This window comes from Homo sapiens, chromosome 15, assembly GCF_000001405.40.
Source record: "Homo sapiens chromosome 15, GRCh38.p14 Primary Assembly".
Classification (NCBI taxonomy): Eukaryota; Metazoa; Chordata; class Mammalia; order Primates; family Hominidae; genus Homo; species Homo sapiens.
Window position 1 is genome coordinate 80,222,084 of NC_000015.10, and position 27,236 is coordinate 80,249,319.

Below are 27,236 nucleotides of genomic sequence, written 5' to 3' on the forward strand. Positions count from 1 at the left end.
TTTTAGATATATTCATTAAATCAAGATTATTCATTATGCTATTAGAATCCTCTATTTCTTCATGGCTATTTGATCCATCCAATTTTAAGGTTTATATTCTTTTTGTAAGGGAAAATTTGAATTTAAAATTTTATGGAAATTTAAAACATACACAAAGTAGAAATGGCGATATAATAAATCCACATGTACCAATCATCCAGATGATCAATTATGAATATTATACCACTCTTATTTCATCAACATACCCCCCCTTTTTGGAGTATTTTGAAGCAAATCCCAGGTAACATATCATTTTGCCAGTAAAATACTTCAATTTAAAGCTTTAACAATTAATGACTCTTTCTTAAATAGTCATAACTATAATACTTCTATCATAACCAACAAATGTAACCCTAACTCTCTAATATACAATATCCAATTCATGGTCAATTTTCCCCAATTATCTCAAAATTGTTTTCTTAAAATAGGTTTGTTTGAATTAAGATATGAATGAGTTTTACACATTATCTCTTTTAATTGTTATTAACAGTTCCTCCTCTCTTTTTAATGCAATTAATAGGAACGTTTTTGAAATGGGTATAGTTGTAATTCTGCCAAGTTTCTTGTTTTTCTTACAGTTTTGCCTTATCATTATTTTACTTTTATTGTTGTTCTATAATGCTTTTTATTTTTTACTGCATCTTTTTTAAAAAATTATTTCTTTGTTTCACTAAATCTGCCATAGTATTTCCTTGAGTGTGTTTTTCTTTTACAATGGATTCACATATGACAATGTTTCTTAGATATATTTGTTATAAATAAACAAATAAACACAAATACATACAGACACACATTTGTATCCTGTCCCCTAGAAGAAACCACTATTCTGATATCACCACAGATTAGTTTTACCTGTCCTGAAACTTCATATAAATGGAATCATACAGAATGTTTTCTTTTGTGTCTGGCTTCTTTCACTTAACATAAGGTCTATGAGATTTATTCATATTTTTATTTATTTACTTATTTTTTTGAGACAGAGTTTTGCTCTTGTTGCCCAGGCTGGAATCCAATGGCGCGCTCTCGGCCCACCTCAACCTCCGCCTCCTAGGTTCAAGCGATTCTCCAGATTATAGGCATGTGCCACCATGTCCGGCTAATTTTGTATTTTTTTAGTAGGGATGAGGTTTCTCCATGTTGGTTAGGCTGGTCTTGAACTCCCGACCTCAGGTGATCTGCCCGCTTCAGCCTCCCAAAGTGTTGGGATTATAGGCCTGAGCCACCGCGCCCGGCCGAGATTTATTCATATTTTTGCATGTATTAGTAGTTCTTTTTTATTGCTGTGAAGTATTCCATTGTATGAAATGCACGATATCACGATTTATTCACTCTACAACTAGTGGACATTTGGGTTGTTTCTAGTTTGGGACTATGATGAATAGTGCTGCTAAGAAATTCTTGTCTGTCTTTGTTTATCTTTTGGTGGATATATGTATCCATTTCTATTAGTTGTATATCTAGAAGGTTGCTGGACTGTATAGGTGTATGTTTAATTGTTGCAATTATGGGCAGAGTTTTCCATGGTGGATGGACAAATTGACACTCCTATCAACAGTCCCAGTCGCTCTGCATCCTCATCAGCACTTGGTAGGTTGGGCCTTGTAAATTCCAGCCATTCTGGGGGTAGATTGTGGTTTTTATTTGCATTTCTCTGATGTGAAATTAGAACCTTTTAATATGCTTTTTGGCCAAAAAAAAAAAAAATACCCAAAACAAAAAAGCAACCATATGTGAGGGTTGATGTGCTAATTTAAAAATATGTCCACAAATACTTTGAAGAGGTTGAGTCCATGCGTCCCCCCATTGAGCCTGGGTAGGCCTTTGTGACTGCCTCAGTGGATAAAATGAGGTAGAAATGATGCTGTGTGACTTGGCTGAGTTAGAAAAGGCCACATCATTTTTGCTGTTTTCTCTTGGGACACTCACTTTGGGAACCTTGAGCCGCCATGTCAAGAATCAGCTGCTCTGACGATCACTAAGTGGAGAGACTAAAGAGGAAAGAGGGATGCCTGAGGAACCCCAGCAGTTCCAGCCCCAGCTGTGTAAGTCTCCCCAGCTCAGGTGCCAGATATGCAAGTGAAGAAGACTTTCAGAAGACCCCAGCCCAGCTCCAACCACCGACCGACTGCAATCAGCTGAGAGATCCTGAGTGAGAACAGCCTAGCTGAGCCCACTTAACTCCCAGATTTGTGAACAATAAAATAATTGCTATTGTTATAAGCCAAGATTTGGGGTCTTTAGCTACACAGCAACAGGCAACCAGAACAGTCTAGTTATGGAATTATCTATCCATTCTATTCCATTGTCCTTCTTTTCAACAACACCACACTTTCTTAATGATTCTAACTCTATTTAAGTCTTGAAATCTACTAGAGTAAGTTCTTCAGATTTGTTTTCAAGATTGTCTTGGATATTCCTGGCCCTTTGCATTTCCGTATAAATTCAGTTTATCAATTTCCACAAAACATAAGCATGCTGGCATTTTGATTGGGATTGTGTTAAATCTGTATAGATCAACTTGGAGACAATTGACATCTTAGCAATATCAAGTGACCCAAACAATGAACAAGGTATATCTCTCCATTTATTTAGATTTTTCGTATTTTATTTGAGTAGTGTTTTTTGAGTAGTTTTAAATTGAGACAGGCTCTCACTGTGTCACCCAGGCTGGAGTGCAGTGGCTTGATCTTAGCTCACTGCAACCTCTGCCTCCTGGATTCAAGCGATTCTCCTGTCTCAGCCTCCCAAGCAGCCGAGATTACAGGCAGCCGCCACCATGTGGGGCAAATTTTTGTATTTTCAGTAAAGACCAGGTTTCGCCATGTTGGCCAGGCTGGTCTCAAACTCCTTACCTCAGGTGATCTGCCTGCCTTGGCCTCCCAGATTGCTGGGATTACCGGCGTGAACACCATGCCCGGCCTTCTGAACATTTCTGAATGCCTCACAATGCCTTTCTTTTATCCTTATACGTGAAGTGTTGTTTTGCTAACACAGATTTCTAGGTTCAAGATGTTCCTTTCTCAGAACTTTAAAACTATTGATTCATTGTTGTCTGGGATTTTAGCAAGTAGTGTTAGAGATGAAAAAAATTTTATTTTTCTTTCCATTGTTGGCAACAAATATATTATTTACTAGCCTGGAAGCTTATAGGATATAATCTTTATTTTTAATATCCAAAAATTTTACCAAGAGATTTTTAATGTGTGTGTTTTTTTGTGTCTTGTTTTCATTTGTTTTTTCTTCATCTGGTGGGCACCTTTTATTTAAAAATTCAAGTCTTTCTTCAGCTCAAAGAAATTTTTCCCCTTTTTTCCCCACCATTTCCTTGTGTCTGTCTTTCTGGTTTTATTATACAAATATACAGATAGCGAATCTTATGGATTTATCTTCCATATCTCTTATTTCTTTCTCTCATAGGTTGTTACTTTTCCCATCCCTCTGTCCTTGAGGAATTCCTCAAGTTGGTCTTTTAAATCAATAATTTCATTTTCAGCCATGTTTCATGCTGCTACTCACTGCTTCTATGAATCTTTCTGTTTCATCCATTATGCTTTCAATTTCAAGGATTTTTTCCTTTCTTGCTCTCTTTTTATGAAGTGGTATGCTATCACTCCATAAAATCAGTCTTACTGAGCATACCAATTAGAATTTAATCTTTCCCTCTGTTCCTTCATTGCCATTTTTAAATTAGAGGCCATTTGTTCTAATTGCTCAGTTTGTTGAGATGCTGGTTATCCTCATTTTTTTTTCTGCTCACGTTTATAAATGGAGGTATAGATTCATTTATATTGGTAGCTGATGTGGGCTCTTCCAGCAACTGCCTCATTGTTTATACCCTAGCTATCTTTTCCAAGAGCTTAAGGGTCCATGGGCAGGGTTTATCCTGAGCACAGTGACTAGAGGATGAAGCAATAGGTGGGTTTTATTTCAGGGTGCTTGGGCTTGGGCCAGAAACAAAAAGAGGAGGTTAACCTTTCTCTCCTCTCACTCCACCATCAGGGTAAAGTGGGTAGCTCAAAGCTACTATGGAGGAAGTCCCCAATTGTCCAGTTGTAGTCAGTAAAAAGAGAATGAGGTGGGTCCCTGAGCTGGTGGCTCCCTAATGGATTTAAAGCAGAGCTTTATGAAGACTTTCTTTTGTTCGCTAATGTCCATAAGTCAACCTGCCTAAATCTGCTGCTGAGGTCTCAGGAGGGTCTTTTTGCTCAGTTGAAAATATGTTATAGCAGGAAATAAGGAAGTAATTCCAATGAAGGTAAAAAAAAATTAGGACATGTTTCTTTTGTAACTCCCACTCAGTATCTGCTGTAACGGCCCCAAGTTGTCCCTCCCTGATCTCTCTCTGGCCCTCCTGCTAGTGTTAGAAAGCTCCCAGAACAAATGCTCTGCCTCATTTAGGAGTCAGTCCACTCATGAAGCCCTGTGGCAACGAGAAAGCCTTTCAAGTGAAAAGAACACTGTCAAATTGAATTCTCCACTTTCCCCAACTCCCCCACAGCTGAGTGATCCAGGGTCCCCTTGGCCTGACACTCTGACCCTGGCGGCCTTCTGCTGCTCTACTAGGGACAGCCATCCACTCCTCCCCTGACAAGGATCAACCTTTGACATGAGAGTCAAGCCTTCAGCCATTGATTGTCAATCTGGCCCCATCTGCTTTATATCTTCCTGAAATTCCTATACCCGTCTGCTGCATTGAGAATGCCCTGACTTGTTTTCCATGACTGCTACAGACTTTTGAATCTATTTTTTATTTCTTTGGTAATTTCAGTGGGATGTAAAGAGTGAAGAGAAGGAAAAGAGTAATAAATTCACCATTCTGAAATCCTGCCACATGAGCAGGATTTTTTCCCCATCTCTTTGCTCTTTGCCTATTAACTAGTCTTCTCTTCATATCTTATTCATAGGGATCATGGTTTATTGAGTTTTATTGAGTGCACATAGCAGATGCTGTTCAAAATTTATTTCTGTTTTGTAAAGTACATCATTTTCTATGTTTCCTCTGACTCTTGAATTCTAGCATTTTTTTCAAATGCTACAAAGAAAAGCAAATCAAGCAAACAACTGGTACACAAGTAGTGTGTTCACAGTACCTTTGACATTAAAAAAAATGTGCCTCTGTTTCCTATAACAGATTGAAAGTCCTTTATAGGCACCTACCTCATTGAGTAGTGAAGGTAACTTACTAACTAATATCACAGTCTTCCACACTTAAAAGTCTCTTTTCAGTTTAAATAGTCATCCAGTTTTCTCACTAGGGGTGATTTCAATGATAAACATGATTTATTTAGGTAAACATGCAGGCTGTCAGAATTCTGTCTATTCTTTCTCCTCCTCAAGTAGACATCCGGCTATATAAGGGCTTATTATGGGGTCATACGTTGGAGATATTGTGGGTTCGGTTCTAGACCACCACAATTAAGTGACTATCACAATAAAGTGATATTTTTGGTTTTCTAGTGCATATGAAAGGAATTTTTTGGTTTCCTAGTGCATATAAAAGTTATATGTACACTATATTGTACATTAAACATGTAATAGCATTACATCTGAAAAACTTACATACCTTAATTAAAAAATACGTTATTGCTAAAAAATGCTACTGATCATCTGAGGCTTCAGGAAGTTGTAATGTTTTTGCTGGTGGAGGGTCTTGCCTAGTCGTTGAAGGCTACTAACTAATCAGGGTGGCGGTTACTGAAGATTGGGGTAGCCATGGCAATGTCTTCAAATAAGATGATGGTGAAGTTTGCTACATCAATGGACTCTTCCTCTTATGAAAGATTTCTTGCAGCATGCAGTGCTGGTTGTTTGACAGCATTTCACCCACAGTAGAACTTCTTTAAAAATTGGGGTCAGTCCTCTCAAACTCTGCTGCTGCTTTATCAATGAAGTGTATGTAATATTCTAAATCCTTGGATGTCATTTCAACAAGGTTCACATCTTCAAGGAACCACTTTCTTTGCTCATCCATAAGAAGCCACTCATCTGTGCAAGTTTGATCATGAGATTGCAATAATTCAGTCATATCTTCAGGCTCTACTTCTAATTCTAGTTCTCTTGCTATTTCTACCACATCTGCGGTTACTTCCCCCACTGAGTCTTGAACTCCTCAAAGTCATCCATGAGGCTGGAATTAATTTCTTCCAAACTCCTGTCAGCGTCAACACATTGACTTCCTTCCATGAATCATGAATGTTCTTAATGGCATCTAGAATGATAAATTCTTTGCAGAGGTTTTCAATTTACTTTGCCCAAATCCATCAGAGGAATCACAATCTATGGCAGCTAGAGCCTTACAAAATGTATTTCTTAAATAATAAGATGGGAAAGTTGACATTCTCTTTCACATGGTAAGCATAAGCTGGGCTTATCCAAGGGCCCCACAGTTTCCTTCATGTTATGCCAGAAAGGGAGCTACTGGCCCCATATTCTGAGGTCCTCACCTTTAGCAGGGTGCAGGTTGAGTATCCCTAATTTGAAGATTCAAACGCTGAAATGCTACAAAATCTGAAACTTTTTTTTTTGGAGACACAGTCTTGCTCTGTCACCCAGGCTGGAGTGCAGTGGTGCGATCTTGGCTCACTGCAACTTCTGCCTCCCAGGTTCAAGCAATTCTCTGCCTCAGCCTCCCGAGTAGCTGGGAATACAGGTGCCCACCACCATACCCAGCTAATTTTTGTATTTTTAGTTAGAGACGGGGTTTCACCATCTTGGGCAGGCTGGTCTTGAACTCCTGACCTCGTGATCCACCTGCCTCGGCCCCCGAAAGTGCTGGGATTACAGGCGTGAGCCACGGTGCCGGGTTCAAAATCTGAAACTTTTTTGAGTACTGACATGATACTCAAAGAAAAGGCTCATTGGAACATTTTGGATTTTCAGATTAGCGATGCTTAGCTAGTCAGTATAATGCAAACATTTCAAAATCTGAACACTCCTGGTCCCAAGCACTTCAGGTAAAGGACACTCAACCTACATTTTGAAAGCCTGTAAGGTGTATGACCCTGAGCTGGGTAAGGCTGGGAAACAAGATCCTGCCACCTGATATCCCCACTCACCTGGCTCCTGTTTCTTTCCCACAACCCTCCCGCCCGGCCCCGCACCCTGACTGGGGCTGGAAGGGACAGGTTTCAGGGTTTCTGGGTCTTTTACATCAGTGTTTTATGTTCATTCTGGAACTGTGGTTGCTGGTCATACCAAGGTAAATACAGAATTGGGGAATAAGTGTTAGGAAACCTTTAAAGCAATGTGACGCTGCAGTGTGTCTAAATGTGTGAGAATGGACTCCCTTGGAGCAGGGCATAGGCCAGTTATGTGTGAGTCATACGTGGTGCTTGCTGAGTGCTGACCAGGCAAACTATGGTCAGGTCCATGACAGACTGGAAATTTAGGAAGAAAGCCAACAACAGGTCATTCACTGCAAATTCACGCCCTGGCCACCACAAGGGTTCATGTGTGGGCATCCATTCTTACATTGAAACTCTGTGATTTTGATACTCTGATGCAAATTAAAGGATGTTAAAATATCCTTTGTTCCTACGGTATTTTGGCTTTGAAAAGCAATATCGTCTTGACTAAAAAATTCTGATATGGTCCTTGCTAGTCAAAAGCTGAAAAAGCCATTCTTTCTTTTTGCAGTCCTGGTATAGCGTGCTTTGGGCAGACTAGGGAGAAGGTTAGCTGCACAAAAATAGAAAAAATACATTACATGGAGTTCTTAAAAAATCCCTTTTTATGTTGGCCTCAAACAGAGAGAGATCTATCCAGGTTGGAAAATGCTAAGTATTAAAATTCTCCTTTCACCTCAGGCTGGAAGGCCCTGTGTTGAAGTAAGGTAAGAAGAGCAACTAGGGTGACAGGATAAGCATCTGTAAGGATGGGCAGCAGGACTCCTGGTCATGTTCAGAATTATTTGAACGACTTGGAACCAATGTTCTCTAATTAATAAGCTTGGTGAGTTATTTTCTAGATACTTTTATAGACATTCCCCAAATTAATTAATTTCTAGAATGACTTTCTATAATTCTTAAGTTGGTAGGATTGTGTCAGGTAGAAAATCAATTCTGTTTCCAGATCCGCAGCAGTGTAATCATACAGTGCATCTTGCTGTGCAGGCAAGTGTGATGATGGGTCTCTAAATGCCTCTTGGAAGGCGGGGGCGGTGTCTCCATTGATAAGAAGGAGTACTTTTAGTTCCTATTACTTAAATATTCACAATCTCCCACAAACATAAGCACATGCTCACACACTTCTGTGCTGGGATTACAGACGTGAGCCACAACGCCTGGCCAGTCATACCCTTTTTTATTCCTGATATTGGTAATATTCTTTCTCATTTGCTTCATCAGTTTATCAATCTTATTACTCTTTTAAAAGAAACAGTTCTTAACTTTGTTGTATACTTTCTATTTCATAGATTTCCATCCTTATCTTTATTATTTCCTTCTTTTGATTTTCTTTGGGTTTTGTTTGCCATTCTTTTTTTTAACCTTACTAAGTTGGAAGCTTACATCACTGATTTTAGACCTTTCTTCTTTTCTAACATATGCATTTGGAGCTATAAATGTTCCTTTAAGTAGTGTTTTGGCTGTAACCCACAAGTTCAAAGTATGGGTATTTAAAAGTATGGGTATTTAAAAGTGTGTTGCTTAATTTGGCTGGGTGCGGTGGCTCATGCCTATAATCTCAGCAGTCCAAGGACGCTGAGGCAGGTGGATCACCTGAAGTCAGGAGTTTGAGACCAGCCTGGCCAACATGTTGAAACCCCATCTCTACTAAAAATACAAAAATTAGCCGGGCAGGGTGGCACACACCTGTAGTCCCTGCTACTCAGGAGGCCGAGGAAGGAGAATCGCTTGAAGCCTGGAGTCAGAGGTTGCAGTGAGCTGAGATGGTGCCACTGCACTCCAGCCTGGGCCACAGAGCAAGATTCCATCTCAAAAAAAGAAAAAAAAAGTGTGTTGCTTAATTTCCAAGCATTTAGAGATTTTTTTTTTTTGGTGTGTGTGTCTTCTTGTTATTGCTATCTAGCTTAATTCTGCTCTGGAGCCTGACCGCTGCTTCTCTGTGCCTACTTCTCTCCAGGTTCACATGGGTAGTCTTTAAGATGGCTCAGTCCTGCATGGTCAAGCCCTCAATGCTCCCTCATTATCTCATGCACCTTGCCCCATCCAAATCTAAGCTAGGAGAAGAGAAATTGAATGACAGAGCCTTGCCACCTTCTCTCTCTCTTTTACCATCATCTTTGCCTGCCATTTTTATCCTGCATTTAAAAAAAAAGAAAAGAAAAAAAAAAAGAAAAAACTTCTCCTGTGTCAACTTCTTCCTGAATGCAGCTAATACCTCATTAAGGACACAAACATGGCTCTAAACCATGGGAGAAATTTATAAGCCAACTCCTCTAAATTGGTCTTTGATATGCTAAATAAAGAATGAAATAAGGGAGTTTGGAAATTTCTTCTCGAGAAAATAGCTGGCTTGCAAGGCTATTATTCTGCTGTATAATCGTAATTTTGATTGTCAGGAATGGACTATTCCTGTGGCCTTTTTTTCTACATGCCTCCTGTAACAGTCTGATCTCCTTCCAGGCAGAGTGTTGCCCAGGATGAACTAGGCTGAAAGTCACATACCCAGCAATGAGAAAGAGAAAAGCATATTAACTTTTATTAAAAAATTTTCCATCTTACAAAAAGAGAAAAGTCTGTCCACACTGAGAATAGCAGCTGCTATCTGTGCATAATTTATGTTTTGGAAGAGGTTTTTCCATTCACGGTATTGTTTAAGCATGAACAATTGGACTGTTATGGTTATTAAGGCTAAGCAGGTTCACAAAGGTCCCAGGAACCCAGGTCCCAGGAACTTAGGAAGTTGGATGGCGTGGAGCTTCTGGGGCCACAGTGGGACCTGGCCATGGGGATCAGCCATGGTTCTGGTTGTGGTTGGAGAGAAAGACCAGGGATGGGCATAAGCGGAGTGAGGCTATAGGAGTGGTGGGTATCTGACTGTGACAAGCCTGGAATGCTGGCGACGTGCAACTGATCAATGGAGAGATGAGGAGAGTTGTGAACCAGGCAGTGAGGATGTGCTGTGTGGGAAATTCTCCTGAATCAAAAGAGATAACCCTTGGCTTCTGCATACCTCCCTGCCCCCGATCCTTTTGAATCACAGAGGAATCGCTTACAGAGTCTCATGTATTTAGAGATATCCAATTATCTTAGATCAGACTCGTGGCCAAAGAAATGCTCAGGAAATCGAGCTCATGTTTCTAATCTGATTGTAATTTCATCAGTGGCCCCGATGTAATTATTTCCCTTTTAGTTTACTTAACACTAACAAACAGCCTTTAATGATTTTTTGTTGTTGTTTTTAATGGAAAGAATCAATCTTTCTTCTCCAAATAATGAAGTTGAGTGGAACACCATGCATGAGCAGGAGAGTCGTCCTGGCACAAACGCTCTTGCTCAAGGTGCCCTTTCCTTCAAGCCCTTTAAAGCCCCAACAAGAGCCTCAGGCCCAGGCCTCCCTGAACCTGTGTTGCTCTGTCTGTGCCCTGAAGCCCCCAAATAAAACTCTCCATCTCCCCAAAGCACCAGCAGGTAGTTTCTCTTTCACAAGACAGTCAGGTAGACTCAGGTGCTCATGCCTTTGCAATGATTTCCCATCACCATAGTTAAAATCCCAAAGCCCTTCCCAAGTGAAAAACAGAAGCCAGACTACTTGAAGAATGTTCGTTGGAAATTCAGGTCCTGGGCATAATGTCCAGGCTCAGGTTCTGGCTCCTGAACTACCAACAGTGTGATATTAGACGAAAAATGCAACTTCCTTTTTTTTTTTTTTTTTTTGAGACTGAGTCTTGCTCTGTTTCCCAAGCTGGATTGCAGTGGCGCGATCTTGGCCCACTGCAACCTCCGCCTCCCAGGTTCAAGCAATTCTCTGCCTCAGCCTCCTGAGTATCTGGGATTATAGGCGCCCACCACCACGCCTGGCTAATTTTTGTATTTTTAGTAGAGACGGGTTTCACCCTCTTGGCCAGGCTGGTCTTCAACTCCTGACCTTGTGATCCACCCGCCTCAGCCTCCAAAAGTGCTGGGATTACAGGCGTGAGGCACTGTGCCTGGCCAATGCAACTTCTTTAAGTCTCTGTTTCCTTACCTTTAAAATGGAGAAAATAATATCCCAGTGAATTTCACTGGATCTCTGGGAAGAGTAAATGAGAATATATTTCTAAAGTGCTTAGCATAGTTACTCAGCACAGTAACATATTTACTCAATTAAAATATTAGCTGTCATTCTTACTTTTGTTCTTACAGTTTCCCTCTCTAGGTATCCAAGCCTCCAATCTGGCTGCTGGAATACAAGATGCTCCTGTCCTTCAGGCTGCAAACTGCCTGGCTCTTGGTGGCTTCCACAGAAAATAGCCCCTGGTTTCCTCTAATGAGGAGACATCACAGAATGACCAAGTCTCCCAAGGATTCTTCCTCCCTGAACAAAGTGAGCTCAGAGGGCTGGGGGCTACACCACGCCAGGCTCGGATTCTGCCCTACAAAGAGACTGGGGGAGCTAGACAAGCCCACTTCCCCCACAGCGACTCAGACAAACAAAGGCAACCTGCAAGCGACTGACTTTGCTGTCTCGCGGAGTGATTAATCTCCCTGAAATTAATGGCCCCTCAAAGGCAGGCAGCTGCAGTGGCTGTGCGCATCTGAATTGCAGGATTCCTCTGCATGCGTGAAGACATTTAACAGGACAGATGACACGTTGTGGGTGCCCATGGCCCTCAGGAACCCACACAACTTGACCATAGGTTCCATAAGCATGCAGGAATGGGGTCACCACCATGGGGTTCCCTGCCTACCTCCTCCATTCCCATTAACAGAGGTAAAAAAGCTGTCCCTCAGAAGAGGAGCAAGCCTGCGGTGGAGAAGCTAAGTGACCTTGAGCAAGTGAGTGAGCCTGGGTCTTCTCCAGCAAAACCAGCACATTGCTTTGGAGGACTAGGTCCTTTGTGTGCAGAGCATCATGCGGAAATAAGAAAACAAAGAAAGCCCAGCCGTCTTACTTCAATGCATCTACAAACTTATTGGGGGAAGGCTTTGGGGATACGGATTGATTATGGAAACCTGACATTTTAGAGGCTGTTCGTCTGAGACCAGGGGACATTTGGATGAAATTTAGAAAACCAATTATTAAATATGTTTTATTTTCATCCAAGCGATGGGCTAAATCAGTAGAATGATTAGGTTCAGGGATGGGTGGGAATCAGGGGAGAGGTTGGGTCAGGGATAGGGTGAGACAGGGCTGTGTATTATACACAGCATCCTGAAATAACATGTATTATTCCACAATTTGAACATGCCCTTTTTTTTTTTTTTTTTCTGAGAGGAAGTTTCACTCTGTCACCCAGGCTAGAGTGCAGTGGTGCAATCTCAGCTCACTGCAACGTCTACCTCCCGGGTTCAAGTGATTCTCCTGCCTCAGCCTCCTGAGTAGCTGGGAATACCGGTGCATGCCACTGTGCCTGGCTAATGTTTGTATTTTTGGTAGAGATGGGGTTTCACCATGTTGACCAGGCTGGTCTCGAACTCCTGACCACAGGTGATCTGCCAGCCTTGGCCTCCCAAATTGCTGGGATTATAAGCGTGAGCCACTGCTCCTGGCCTCAGCATACTCTTTTGATGGGGCTGTCTTCCATCGCCTGTGTCAAAATGTCCCCTTTATCTAAACAGCTGCACAGTGCACAATCACTCAGGCCAGTTGTGGACAGAAACCTGCCGTGTTTTGTTTCCTGCTTTTGGGGAATGGCCTTCTTCAATGAAGCAGTGACAGCAAGATGCAGAGAGCAGCAGGCTGAGGTTCGGTCCCCAGAGTTTGAGTTATGACTCTGCCCCCCTGGTGGCTGGGTGACCTTGGGCAGGCTGCATGACTTCTCTGTGTCTTGCAACCAGGGCTCTTCCTTTGCCTCTCAGCTGCTCTTCCCTGGAGGGTTGTGGGGGAGGCAAGGAAAGGGGCCCTTGCGGTAGTTCAGCTACTGAGTCACAAGGCAGCCCTCCCAGCCTGGCGGAGCAGATGGAAAACTGGCCTCCTGTGTTCCTCTGTTCAAGATGTCCTATGCAGTCAACCCTTAGGGGCTGGCAGGACCTAATAGATAGCCTGAGCCCCAGAAGCCTAGGGTAAATGTTTTTCTCTCCAGGTACCGAAAGTACATCATAAGGCCAGCTACAGAAGAGATGCAGGTCAAGTGCCCTCCCAATGCAAGGGCCGAGGTGCACACGTGGCCCTGGTGGAGTGCTGGCCAAGATGGCTGGCATCCTTGGCTTAGCATCTCCGAAAGAGCTCGCCCTAAATTATGCTCATTTGCATAACCTAGTTGTGGGCTTGGTTGACAGGGACAGCAAGCATACTGGGAGTGGCATAACGCGACTGTGGAAGACTGCAGGGGAAATCAAGTCCCAGTTACTATTTTCAGCCTTTAACTATCTCCTGAGGGCCAATCTTGCCAGTTGGACATCTTCACTGGGATGTCCTGGGCTGTTGCTCTTGGCTCCATAAAGTTCTTATCGTGTAGTTCTGTAGTTATGACCCAGAACCAACTCCCCTCTACCCACCTGCCACTATCACAGGGCTACCCTACCAATCCCTTCTTCTCCTCAACAGGCTTCAATGTGGCTCTGCCCCTCACTGACTGGGTAGCCTGACACAAATCATTCATTCCTTTGAACCTCAGCTTGCTCATTTGCAAAATGGGGATACTAAATAACTACCTCATGGGATAATGATGAGGACTTAGAGGAATTAATATACATAAAGCACTTAGAAGAGTGTCGGGTTCCTAGTCAGCACTACATAAATATCCCTCAACCAGCTTTCCATCTGGACTTACCTTGTGCTGGGAACCATACTAGATCCTGCAAGTTCAAACTCTTAGCACCACATTTCCCAAAATAATGCTTGATGGAACAGGGTGGGGAACACCCCAGTGATGCTCAGCCTTTTGCGAAACATCCTATGTCATGGTCCTCTCTGGGATATTCTCACTGCATTTGAAAAAGGAACATCTTCCTTTTACTTCCTTTCAAGGTTGGCCCGCTGCTCGTTTCTGTACAGACATAAATAAGAATGGTTTCTACTTTTTTTAATGGTAGGAAACAAAACGATTAAAATCATGACACATGAAAATCATGTGACATTGGGATTTCAGCGAATGTACAGTTCTATGGGAACACAGCAGTGCCTGTTCATTTACACACTGTCTATGGCTGCCTTTGCACTATGACAGGCAGAATTGAGTAGTTGGGACAGACACTACCTAGATTTGCAGTCATGGTAATGCATAATGATGTTTCCATCAACCATAGTGGTCCCGTAAGATTATAATGGAGCTGAGCCAGGTGCGGTGGCTCACGCCTATAATCCCAGCACTTTGGGAGGCTGAGGCGGGTGGATCACCTGAGGTCAGGAGATCGAGACCAGCCTGGGCAACATGGTGGAACGCCATCTCTACTAAACATACAAATATTAGCCAGGTGTGGTGGTGTGCACCTGTAGTCCTAGCTACTTGGGAGGCTGAGACAGGAGAATTACTTGAACTGGGGAGGGAGAGGTTGCAGTAAGCCGATATTGTGCCACTGCACTCCAGCCTGGGTGATACAACAGGACTCGGTCTAAAAAAAAAAAAAAATTATAATGGAGCTGAAAAATTCCTATCACTTAGTGCTTAGTGGCATGGTAGCCCTCTTAACATCATAGTGCAATGTATTACTCACGTGTTTGTGGCAATGCTGTTGTAAACAAACCCACAGCACAGTCAGTTATATAAAAGCATCACACTTACAATTATGTCTAGCACATATACAAAAATTTTACTGGCTTATGTATTTGGTATATTATTTATTGTTATTTAAGAGGATACTCCTTCTGTTTATTAAAAAAACAGTTGGCCAGGCGCGGTGGCTCATGCCTGTGATCCCAGCACTTTGGGACGCCAAGGATGGCAGATCACGAGATCAGCAGATAGAGACCATCCTGGCTAACACAGTGAAACCTCGTCTCTACTAAAAATATAAAAAATTAGCTGGGCGTGGTGGCAGGTGCCTGTAGTCCCAGCTACTTGGGAGGCTGAGGCAGGAGAATGTCCTGAACCTGGGAGGTGGAGCTTGCAGTGAGCCAAGATCGCGCCACTGCACTCCAACCTGGGCGACAGAGCGAGACAGTGTCTCAGAAAAAAAAAAAAAAAAAAAAAGAAAGAAAAAGAAAACAGTGAATTATACAATAGCTTCAGGCAGGTCCTTCAGGAAGTATTCCAGAAGCAGGTATTGTTATCTTAGGAGATGGCAGCTCCATGTGTGTTACTGCCCCTGAAGCCCTTCCAGTGGGATAAGGTAAGTGAAAGACAGATATATTGATGCTCTTGTAGGCTCAGGCTCATGTGATTGTTTGTGTCTTAGTTTTTAACAAAAAAATTTAAAGGTTATAAAATAAAAATAAATTTAAGTAGAAAACACCTTACAGAATAAGGCTATAAGAAAGAAAATATTTTTGTGCAATATTTTGTACACTATGTTTGTGTTTCAAGCTAATATTTTTACAAAACAGTCAAAAAGTTAAAACACACTGGGTGCAGTGGCTCACGCCTGTAATCCCAGCACTTTGGAAGGCTGAGGCAGACAGATCACCTGAGGTCAGGAGTTCGAGACCAGCCTGGCCAACATGGCAAAATCCCATCTCTACTAAAAATACAAAAATTAGCTGGATGTGGTGGCATGCATCTATAATCCCAGCTACTCAGGAGACTGAGGCAGGTGAATCGCCTGAACCCAGGAGGTGGATGTTGCAGTAAGCTGAGATCGTGCCACTGCACTCCAGCCTGGGAGACAGAGTGAGACTCCATCTCAAAAAAAAAAAAAAAAAAAAAATTAAAACAATTTAAGTTTATAAAGCAAAACACTATAGTAAGCTGTTAATTTATTACGGAAGAAACAAAAATTTTAAAATAAACTTAGTGTGGCCTAAGTGTACAGTATTTATAAAGCCTATACTAGTACACGGTAATGTCCTAGGCCAAACTCACCCACCACTCAGTCAATGACTCACCCAGAGCAACTTCCAGTCCTGCAAGTTCCATTTATGGTAAGTGTCCTGCACAGGTGTACCACTTATCTTTTATGCCATATTTTTACTGTACCTTTTCTATGTTTAGATATGTTCAGATATATAAAACTTAACTTTGTGCTATAATTGTGTCATATGATTTTTATGTGTCATGATTTCGATCTTTTATTGTTTTCAATAATTTAAACATGTAGAAACCATTCTTCTTTCATGGGCTGTACAATAAGAAGCAGCGGGCAGACTTTGCCCAACCATGTTTGTTTTTTTTTTTTTTTTGAGACGGAGTCTTGCTCTGTTGCCCAGGCTGGAGTGCAGTGGCGATTTCTCGGCTCACTGCAAGCTCCACCTCCCAGGTTCACGCCATTCTCCTGCCTCAGCCTCCCGAGTAGCTAGGACTACAGGTGCCCGCCTCCACGCCCAGCTAATTTTTAGTAGAAATGGAGTTTCACCTTGTTAGCCAGGATGGTCTCGATCTCCTGACCTCGTGATCCACCCGCCTTGGCCTCCCAAAGTGCTGGGATTACAGGCGTGAGCCACCGTGCCTGGCCTGCCCAACCATGTTAAACTCAGGGAACAAGTTCTACCATTGCCTACAGTATTCAGTACAATAACATACCGCCCAGGCCTGTAGCCTAGGAGCAATCAGCTACACTGTATAGCCTAGGTGTGTGGTAGGCTCTGCCATCTAGGTCTGTGTAAGCACATGCTATGATGTTCACATAAGAACGACATCCCCTAAGAATGCATTTCTCAGAATGGATCCCCGTTGTTAAGCACCACATGACTGAACTGAACTGAATCTTCCGTTTTCTTCCAAGTCACACCTGCTGGCATCCCGAGCAGTCAGCGACAGAGCAGCACAGTGTCAGAGCTCTCCTTGACCTCTCGATTTCTGCCCACACCTACTCACGCCAGCCCTGGAGGCTCTGCCGTCTGAAGCCCTTCCCACCAGCTCTGGCTTTCCAGGCCCTCCCTGAGCCCCACAGTCCTCTGTGCCTGGGTCCCTTATATGGTCTCTTGCTCCCCACCTCTCCATCCTATGCCCTCTGGTTACCACCCACCCCAAATGGCTGCATTAATTACTGTGATGGTTAATACTGAGTGTCAACTTGATTGGATTAAAGGATACAAAGTATTGATCCTAGGTGTGTCTGTAAGGGTGTTGCCAAAAGAGATTAACATTTGAGTCAGTGGGCTGGGGAAGGCAGATCCACCCACAATCTAATCAGCTGCCAGCGAATATGAAGCAGGCAGAAAAATGTGAAAAGGAGAGACAGGCGCAGCCTCCCTGCCTACATCTTTCTCCCATGCTGGATGCTTCCTGCCCTCGAACATCTGACTCCATGTTCTTCAGTTTTGGGACTCGGACTGGCTCTCCTTGTTCCTCGGCTTGCAGACAGCCTATTGTGGGACCTTATGATTGTGTAAGTTAATACTTAATAAACTCTTTATATATATATCCTATTAGTTCTATCCTTCTAAGAGAACCCTAATACAATCACCAACTCGCTACAGCTCCCCATTGTCCACAGAGTCCAGTCCCTTCAGCCAAGCATTCAAGGATCACCATGCTCAGGCTCACTCAAGCCTCCCTGTCTCCTTGTGATGTCTATGGTATTTTTATCTTGTTTGACTGTTAAAAAAAATTAAGTCTTTTTTATTATTGATCATTTGCTGTTATTTTCTCATCCCAAATATTCACTTTTGTGCTTACTTTTGTTTTCATAATTTTGTATTACTTTATTTATTTATTTTTGAGACGGAGTTTTGCTCTTGTTGCCCAGGCTGGAGTGCAATGGCACGATCTCAGCCCACCGCAACCTCCGTCTCCCAGGTTCAAGTGATTCTCCTGCCTCAGCCTCCCGAGTAGCTGGGATTACGGACATGCACCAACACGCTCGGCTAATTTTGTATTTTTAGTAGAGACGAGGTTTCTCCATGTTGGTCAGGCTGGTCTTGAACTCCTGACCTCAGGTGATCCGCCTGCCTCGGCCTCCCAAAGTGGTGGGATTACAGGCATCAGCCACCACACCCCACCTATATTACTTTATTAAGGGGGGTCCCAAAATTGCATAAACCTTAGGACCCATAAAACCTGAATTTGCCCCTGTCCCTCATCTCCAAGGAAGACCAAGGTCTCCCTCTCTCTACCACTCTGTTTTCCTGTTCTGCCAGGCGTCCCAGATTGGAACATGGCGTAGGTCCCCTGGCCAATCTACAAGCCTGCACTATTTGTTAAATTGAATTGCATGCTTGACTTACTGTTGTGTGCCTGCCAACACTCCCCCCCCACCACCCAACAAATAAAAAGCTGTTAGCAATGGAATCAGTTCCTAATCACTGTGTAGAGCGGAAAGCCTCTCCCGAAGACTCTTCTGGAAGTCCTAAGAACTTTCCAGACATCTGTTAAAAGGAACAGGATTTTGGAAGCTAATTTGTTTAATTGATTCATTGATAAGAGCTCTTGAAAATGCATCTGCTTATTGGAGACACTTTGTACAAGACATAAAAATCAGTGGCAAATGTCACATTCAAGGGAAGATAAATCCAGTGAATAAAGACTTAAGTAGCTGTTAATGAGGGATGTTATTTCCTTATAACCAGGCAGCCATATGAATCTCAGTCAAAGCATCCGGATATCCTGGTACCTAGAGAATCCCCAGGACAAAGCTGGCTTCCTTTGCCTTTTCATCCTGCTCTGTGCCAGGCTGTGAGGGGGACCCACTCGGGAGACAAGTTCTACAGAGACAAGCTCTACTGCAGAGAAAGTGTGGAAATGCTGCTGCTCACGGAATCCTTAAACTGGCATGTGATACACATTTTGTTGATGCTCATTGCACCCTCACCTTCCCTTGTGAATGAAGTCTGTTATCCCTGTGTTATAAACAAAGAGATGGGGGCAACTACCGGCCAACAAGAGCTAAGCGATGGAGGTGGGAGCTGTGTGTGCATCTGTGGGCAGAAAACAGAAAAGCCCCATGTGTGACTCCCTAGACCACTCTCCAGGGTCAGGATTCAGGAGCTCAGGGAAAAAGGGGCCCTGCAGCACCATTGTCTGAGAAGGATTCTCTTCCTTTCCTGCCTCCTGTTCCTTCTTTTCTCATATATTATTCTCCAAACGCTGGGCTTCTCAAATGAAATAGGAACTTTTCCCCTTTTCATGACTTTGTTCAACAGACCTTTCTATGTCGAGAGCCCACGGCCCCTAGGAAATCTTTCAGGACGACCTTCAAGTATCACCTGCTATGATCTGAACTGAGGACCCCCTTTTGGGTTTCTGATGCCTCTTGGCATCAGAAACATGCTCAGACATGTAAGGGCTTCAGCTGCCATGAGGGCAGGGGCCCCCATTCTCCTTTGCTTTGCTCTGCAGGGCAGGGTGGGTGCTCAGTAACCATGCACAGTGAGGACAGCAAGCTCAGCTCTGCGTTCCACCCTCCCCCACAGAGCTGAGATGATGGAACGGGGCCTCATGACTGTAGAGACCCCAGGTGCCCACGGAAGTCAGGCGCACTGGCCCTTGGGGGAAACAGCTGCTCGTTGGCCTACCCTCCCTTCCACCCACAGCACAATTTCCTGGAAACCTGCCTAGTGCAGATTGAAGAAAGAGAAGCAGAAATACCAAAGTCCAATTCTTCCCATCCCACCCATAGAAAAACCCACATATGCAAAATGATAAGCCCTTTCCCCTGCCTGACTTCACCTTCCAAAACACTTTCATGTCCGTATCCCACTTTTTCACTCCAATAACATCCTTGTGAGGTGGGCAGAGCAGTGAGCATTCCTGTTTTATAGATGAGGAGACCGAGGCTCAGAGAGGCTACCTGGTCTGGACAGGACATTCCTGTTTTATAGAAGAGAAACTGAGTCTCTTTATTCTATGTTATGTAGGTTGAGAGAGACACCCTAAGAGAGACAGAGAGGCTGCACTTTGACCTGCATCGTGGTCACTCTGAGTGACCGTCCCCTATGTTGAAAGGCAGGAAGGAGAGGAGAGGCCCTAAAACGAGTTCCTGCACCCCAGGTGTCCACTCTGTGCTTTCAGGACTTGATGGCAAGTTAGATGTCTTTGAAATCTGCAGAAACTCTCCTGGCCCGCAAGGGGGCTCCTGTGAGCCCGGGCAAGAAGTTAAACAACGTGGAAGCCTTTCAGGCATGCTGGGCAGGAAGGGGAGGCAGAGATATGGCCCCGTCTGGCGCCTCCTCAACCAGAATGGCTCTGAATTATCTGTTTTCTAGATTGGGGTATCACAGGGGACTGTGTTTGAAACAAGTTCCACCTCCCCTGGAGTTTGCAAATTTGCATGAACAATGCCTCACTAGTCAATGCCGAGGGAGGAGCCTGTAAATCCCAGGTCACAACACGGGGCCCTCTGGTAGATCGGGGCAAAGCTATGCTATGTTTGGGCTGCAGACTGGCTTTATGTTTAATTTTGTTTTACCTTGAAAAAGTTGGCCCTTGGAGAATTTCACATAAAATTCAGGATTTCTGCTTTTGGAAGATTGGCTACACTGGGGCTGCCTTTCTGCCCTACAATGTGCAGGTGGAGCTGAGCTGCCAGAGTCCCCTTTACACTGCTCATGGAGTTGGTTTTTCACAGCCTCCACCACTCCCTATGGCTCAGACCCAGCCAGCTTTGGTCATTGATGTCATCTGCCCAGCCCCTGGAGGCATCTGATTTTACCATCTCATGCATGTGTGGCTTTAAAGAAGTAGGCTGTGAGTTAGAATTTCCAAACTTTGTTGCACAGGCAGGTCAGGAGGCTTGGATTTGTGAAAGACTTGATCTGTGACCACATGAGCTGCAGCTTCGGTCTGCCAACCCTCTGATTCCTTTGAACTACCTCCTCTTCATTCAGGAAGGAAGCCGTGCCAAGTGCATCTGCCCGGTTCCCTTGACCTGCCACCCAGAACAGATGCCAGTCAGTGCTGCCAGCCAGGCCCAGCTTTGGGAGTCTCAGGGTCTCCTACAGGGCCTAGTTGTTGAGGGCTGTGTTAAGCCATCCCAGGCTGGTGAACACAAAGTTACATTCCCAAGTTATACCTACCAAGCCTGGGGTATGGTGTAAGCTGTACATTAGGCAGTGGCTACTCTAATGGGCATTAAGATACTTTCCTGCACAGGGAACTCCCTTTGCCAGTTGTCACCTTAGCATATTCTCTGGGTCAGGCCCCAAGAGCCCTAAAAGGGAAGGCATGACGGCCACTCACGGGGTGAGTGGTGAGAGGTGGGGGCAGGTAGAACCTTGCAATGGTAGAGTCTTCACAGGGTGGTGTCCCAGTAGCTATAGCAGATGCCTTGGACAAGAGGTCAGAGTTATTTTCTAGGGCTAGGCAGGTAGCAACACACTAAGAGAATCCAGATTATTTACCATCGTCATTTTCCCTCCTTTCTTCCTGCAAAATTCAGATGCAAAGCCATCTTTCTCCTTGTACCCCAAGGGTAAATGATGCCTCCCAGCTGAGAGCCAGAGAGATGAGGCAGACAGAGTGTGCAGATGTGGCTGTCTCACATTGGACTTAGTCCACCAGTCACAGTGAGATGAGTCCCTTCAGTCGTTGAGTCTCTGTACCCTTCTCATGATAATGGAGCAATGACACCCCTTCTTTTGGGGCTACCAGCTTAGATGGTGTAGTCAACATGGAAGAGCATTTTGAATAAGTGGAAAGAGCTGTGTTAACAGCTCCTGGGAGGAGACCAGGGGATGTTGGAGGAGTATGATGCTCTGGGCCATCTGGAAGGCAACAAGCAGTCAGGCTCTGCTGAAGTCCACTGTGGAGCCCAGGGCTCAGCCATCCTGCCCATCTCCTCCATCTCCTGCATCTCTGCATCCATGGAGGGAAGATTGACTTTTCCCATCCTGCTCACCAAGGAGGTGGGAAATGGGAAGATCAACCAAGCCATTGTTATTACCTTTCTCTCTTTAGAGTCCTTGAAACTGTCTGCTTGTTTTCTGCTGAACGTAAGTAATCCTACTTATACTCTGCTAATGCCTTCTTTCCTCTGAGCCTAGCAAGTGAGATTTAAATGAACAGATGAGGTCTGAAAATTTATGTGCAAAGCCCATGTTCAGGACAGTGAGGGATATGCTGTCAAAGGATGTATCAAAGTCAGCTGAAGCTATAATGATCCTTACATTATTCTTGAAAAATTGAACCACGAGGAGGCACAGCCCAACACAGGGTTGGTCATGGGAGGCTGAGCTCCTCAGGTGCGTCACTGGCTGGACTCCATTCTTCCAGGGGGATGTGCAACATGTGATGAGATCTCTAGTTTGGAAAAAGTAAAGGAGCTCTCTGATTGAAGATCAGGCAGAGTTTCCTTTGAGTCTGTGCAGAAGGCCTCACACCAGAGTGGTGCAGGGTGAACCCGTCAGCAAGGACTTGGGTGGCTTTGTATAGTTCTGGCTGCAAGAAAGAGTGAATCAGCCCCAGACACTGCCCTCTGTGGTTGAGGCAAAGAAGACACAAATGACTAGAAATTGTGTTTCTAATAAGTTTCCTGAGGATGCTGATGCTGCTGGTCTGTGACCCTGTGGGCTAGATCTTTCCCACAGAGAAGGGCAAGTTCAGCCCCCTAACACCGTCGGCACCTTAAACCATATAAAGCACTATCAGGTACACAATCTCATCATCTCATCTGCATTCCAACAGCCTCCAGTGAGCTGGAACTGAGTGTAAGGGTTGAGAGTTGGGCCTGGAGCTAGTCCTTGGGTTTTGAATCTCAGCCCAAATCCCATTTATCAGCAACATGACTTGGGTGAATTCATTCACCAATTTGTGCCTTGGACTTCTCATGGGTAAAATAGGGGTGAGGATTAGGGTACCAGCCTCACAGAGTCGGTGTGAGGATCAGAGGCATGACTTTGTGGAATGCACTGAGGACAGTATTACACAGAGGGATCGTAAGACTAACACCAGCGGCTATCGTGATCATGCAATCCCTCTATGGGCAACAGCTCATAGCTGAACAGTTTGGGGCCTGTGATACCTCTCAGCGCTGCAGGCATCAAGACCTCTAGGTTCTGCCCCAACCAGCCTCACCAGGCACCTTGACAGTAGCAAGTTTGTGTTTACATCGAGACTGATGTAAACACTGTTCCCGAAGAGACAGTTCTGGTTCTTTATTCATAAATCACTAACAATCATTTATTTTGCTTACAAATCTGGAGGGTGACTGGGTTCAGCTGGGCAGCTCTTGCATGGAGCTCTATCATGCAGTTACCTTCAGATCCTGGTTGGGACAGCTGGCTCCTGATATGGCGGCCCAAGGCTCCCAGAGCACATGTCCCAAGATTGCCTGGCAGAAGCCACGTGGCCTTTTCTATCCCAGCCTTGAAGTCATACAACATCACTTCCACCTCATTTTATACATTGAGGCAGCCACAGAGGCCCACCCAGTTTCAAGGACAGGGGGCATGGACTCTACCTCTTTGTGGATTGATTATCAAGGAACTTGTGGACGTATTTTAAAGCCACTCTGAGGCTCTCACCCTTCCCACCCCTTTCTGCCACCACCCTCTCCCTGTGAAATGCCACCTGCCTACCTCTGCTGCCCAAATCTGTCCATTGCTCAAAGTCTCATCAAACTCCACTCTCACCACGATCTTTCCTGGCCAGCCCCCATGCTACTGATGGACAACCCCCAACCCCGCAAGCCTCATGAACACAATTTATTAGGTGTCATTCTCACAGATTCCACTTTTGTAATGAAAATCAAATCAACAACAACACCAGAAAAACACCAGGGAGACAAAACTGGAGGAAATACTAACATGGTAATTATGTGTCTGAGATCATAGGTAGTTTTTATTTTCTTCTTTTATAATTTTCAGTATTCCAAAATTTCCACCTAGCACATCTGTAATTTGTATAATGAGAAAAACATTTTCCTCCCAAAAAGTACACTTAAAAAATAAATGGTAAACATTTCTTGCTCTGAATTCAAAGGACTCAGCTGTTAAGCTACTAAAATCTTTGTCTTCCAAAGAAGCAAATTTTCTGTAATTCCAAAGTTCAATTCATATAAAGGTGGAAAAAATACTATGAGATCAAGTAAGAATAGAGAGAAACTTCCTAGTGTATAGGTTGAAATTGGAGTAATTATGGACTTTTGTTGTGGAAGAGTCATGGTTAAAAGGCACCTGGCCTCAGATCTGGGCTTTGCTGTTTATCCGTTTGTGATTTTTCCTGGGTTGGTACGATGAAGATCGGAGCCACATAAGCCTGGACAGGGAAGCTTTGGCTACTGGCAGTGCTGACAGCCGACTGCGTCATGACATTGGAGGCAGCAGGAAATTATGAAGTGCCCTTGTGTGAAACCCGTTGTGGGAGTTAATGTGTGTCTCTCTATGTTTAGAAGGAGAAAGAGGGCATTCATTTTTCTGCCCAGGCAGAATGAACTGTGGACTTTGGGGATTTGGAGTTTGAGTCAAGCAAGTATGCAAACTGCTAATTTGCCCAAGCTGGGTCAGTGATTCTCAGATTTTAGACTCTAATGTTTATCGTGCCTAATAATCTCTCATAGAGTTTGTTTAAAAATGTCTGTTATCAGCTCTGTGCCAGGAAGTTGCGGTTCAGGGATCTGAGGTTGGGTCCCTGAATCTGCATTTTACAATGAGCCTTACAGTTGATTCTTTGGCCATTTCTGTGCTGCCCACTTAGGGACACTGAAAGGTTTGTCCTCGCAGTCGGATTCAGATGTCACATACATTTTCCCAGGCCTGCTGTGTGACAAGCACGGTGCTGGTTAATTTCATATAGTCTCCTCTGTCAGCCTGTCTTAAAACTTAGGAGGTCAGTATTCCGCTTTCCATTTTACCCATGAGAAAATTGAGGCTCAAAGCAGTCGGGTGGTGTGTCTGTGGTCTCGCAGCTGGAAGTGGTGGAGTTAAGATTTGAAGACAGGTCAGGTGAATTTGACACCAGGAGGTCCCCATGCTCCCCTAGGAGAATATCTCCAAGGCTCCATAATTTGTGAATCCAACTGCTAAGGTGTTGATGACTAGATCTCTCCCTTCCCCATCCTCCCACCACCTTAGCAACATTCCACGTGTAGGAGCTTCCTCAAATTGTCCCTCATCCCCATCAACTATGCTTGTGAGGTGCATAGTTGCACCCCTAAGAGGGGTGCCTTTTGTCTTGTGTGAATAGTCAAAGGGTTAAAGTAAAAGGCTTTGTTGCTGGTCTCCATTGGAGGCAGAAGTCCCCTCCTTGGAATGACAGATGAAGAATGCCTCTTCTGAATTGCAGGGGTTGGGTGCTCCTGGGGAGGGTGGGGAGTGGGAGTGGTAAGGGAGGAATTTAGTCATAGGTCGAGATCTGACCCTTGGAACACTCAAATCCACCCTCCTCACACTAACATAGAAACCCATTATCTTGCTGAGGAGTATCCTCAGAAACCAGAAAAACTGCTGAACAAGAAGACAAATTTTAGGAGAGTTAGATTTCACTGGGCATGCATATTGATTAACAATAATTTCCTTGTTCACATGGAAATGTGGACACCAGGGAGAGGCAGGATTTCACAGTTTAGTTTCCTAAAGGTAGCAACTTTTCTCTGTTCTTCTGCAGACACTGAGAATGAATATATTAACATTTTAACTGGGCCCAGGGAAAGGGAACATGCTTTGACTATCACCGCACAATTCTGCCATACTGTTAATGCTGTTGGAACCCAGGTCACTACTTGGGAGCTGAATCTATAATGACAATTTGTCAAGTCAATTGACCTAGCGAAAAAGTGCACCCCTCTGAAACATCAGCTATCGTAGAGGGCACCAGACTTATCTTCCAAGAGGAGGGTCATCTTGGGAGCTGAACAGCCTACTCTCAATGGAGAGGATGCCCTCCCATGCCCTCCAGGGACCTGAGGCTTGTGGCTCTTCCCGTGCATGGGCCTCATTGCTGTGCCAGCCTAGACTACGCCCTCTCACATACAAATGAACCAACTCTAAAGTCTCATTGTCTTTGATGTCCTGGTCGTACAAGTCATACCTGATTCGATGCAGGCAGCCCAACCTGGGAACAGACCTGTTCCCTCAGGCCTAGTAGCAATGCATCAAGATAGCCTGCGTCTGATGTGGGGAATCTTGGGGCAGGTTTGCCTGCACAGGGGTCATTTCTACAGATGATCCTACGGCTTATAGGAGACGCAGCGGAAAGGGTAAGGAGAGAAAGAAAGGTACATTAGGGAAACAATTTCAGGAGTTTTGCCATCACATTACTCTCCTGGCTTAAAACTCCTCAATCTCTCCCCATTGTCTACAGTACCTAACTAGATACCATTTCCTAAGCCAACTCCAGGCAGTTGTAGAAAAGGATTCTGAGGCCTCGTTCTGGCTCCATGGGAAAGAATATCATAATTGATTAGCAATGTCTGCTCTAGGCAAGAGAGGGAGGTGCGACAAATGTATGCCATTAATTTGCAGTTTTCTAGAACACAGGGAGCTCCGTCTGAGTCAAGAAGCCAGGGTAGCCGGAGGGAACTGGATGTGATCATAAAGGCCATGCAGTGTCAGGCCACTTGTCAGCTATTAATAATATCAGCCTCTAAATAACAGACAGGTGTCAGTATGCCTGCTGCCTCTGGTCAACTCGTGGTAACCACCTGGGCATAGAGATTCATGTCTATGGAAAGAACATTGTATTTTAATTACCCATGTCTGCCACCAGGCTGGGTTGCAGGAGTGGCAGCACAGTTCTCTTTCTTTCTTTTTTTGATTTTTTTTTTTTAATTTGGTAGAGACAGGGTCTCACTATGTTGCCCAGGCTGGAGTATAGTGGTGCAATCACAGTTCACTGCAGCCTTGAACTCCTGGGCTCAAGTCATCCTCCTGCCTCAGCTTCCCAAGTAGCTGGGACTATAGGCATACCACCATGCCTGGCTAATTTTTAAAATTTTTTTGTGGAGATAAGTTCTCACTCTGTTGCCTAGGCTGGTCTCAAACTCCTGGCTTCAAGCGATTCTCTTGCTTTGGCCTCTGAAAGTGCTGAGCCACTGTGCCCAGCCTCAATTCCCTGTCTTTCTGACCCTGCTCCAGTCTCAGGGGAACTCAGCTCTTTTCCATCACGCCATCCTAAGGACAGGGAT

The 27,236-nt window shown here is 44.3% G+C and overlaps 1 protein-coding gene across 1 annotated transcript in view, besides 1 other annotated feature; it reads right to left on the reverse strand.

Moving 5' to 3' along the window:
* The window catches only part of CTXND1 (cortexin domain containing 1), a 56,733-nt gene that overhangs the window by 26,603 nt on the left and 2,894 nt on the right, over positions 1-27,236 (reverse strand). The window lies entirely within an intron of this gene.
* Positions 19,933-20,476: an enhancer, noted in NCBI's record as "NANOG hESC enhancer chr15:80534358-80534901 (GRCh37/hg19 assembly coordinates)". NCBI's record gives its function as "activates a minimal SCP1, AML or CMV promoter by ChIP-STARR-seq in naive H9 embryonic stem cells {active_cell/tissue: H9 hESC(naive)}" and the evidence as "EXISTENCE:reporter gene assay evidence [ECO:0000049][PMID:30033119]".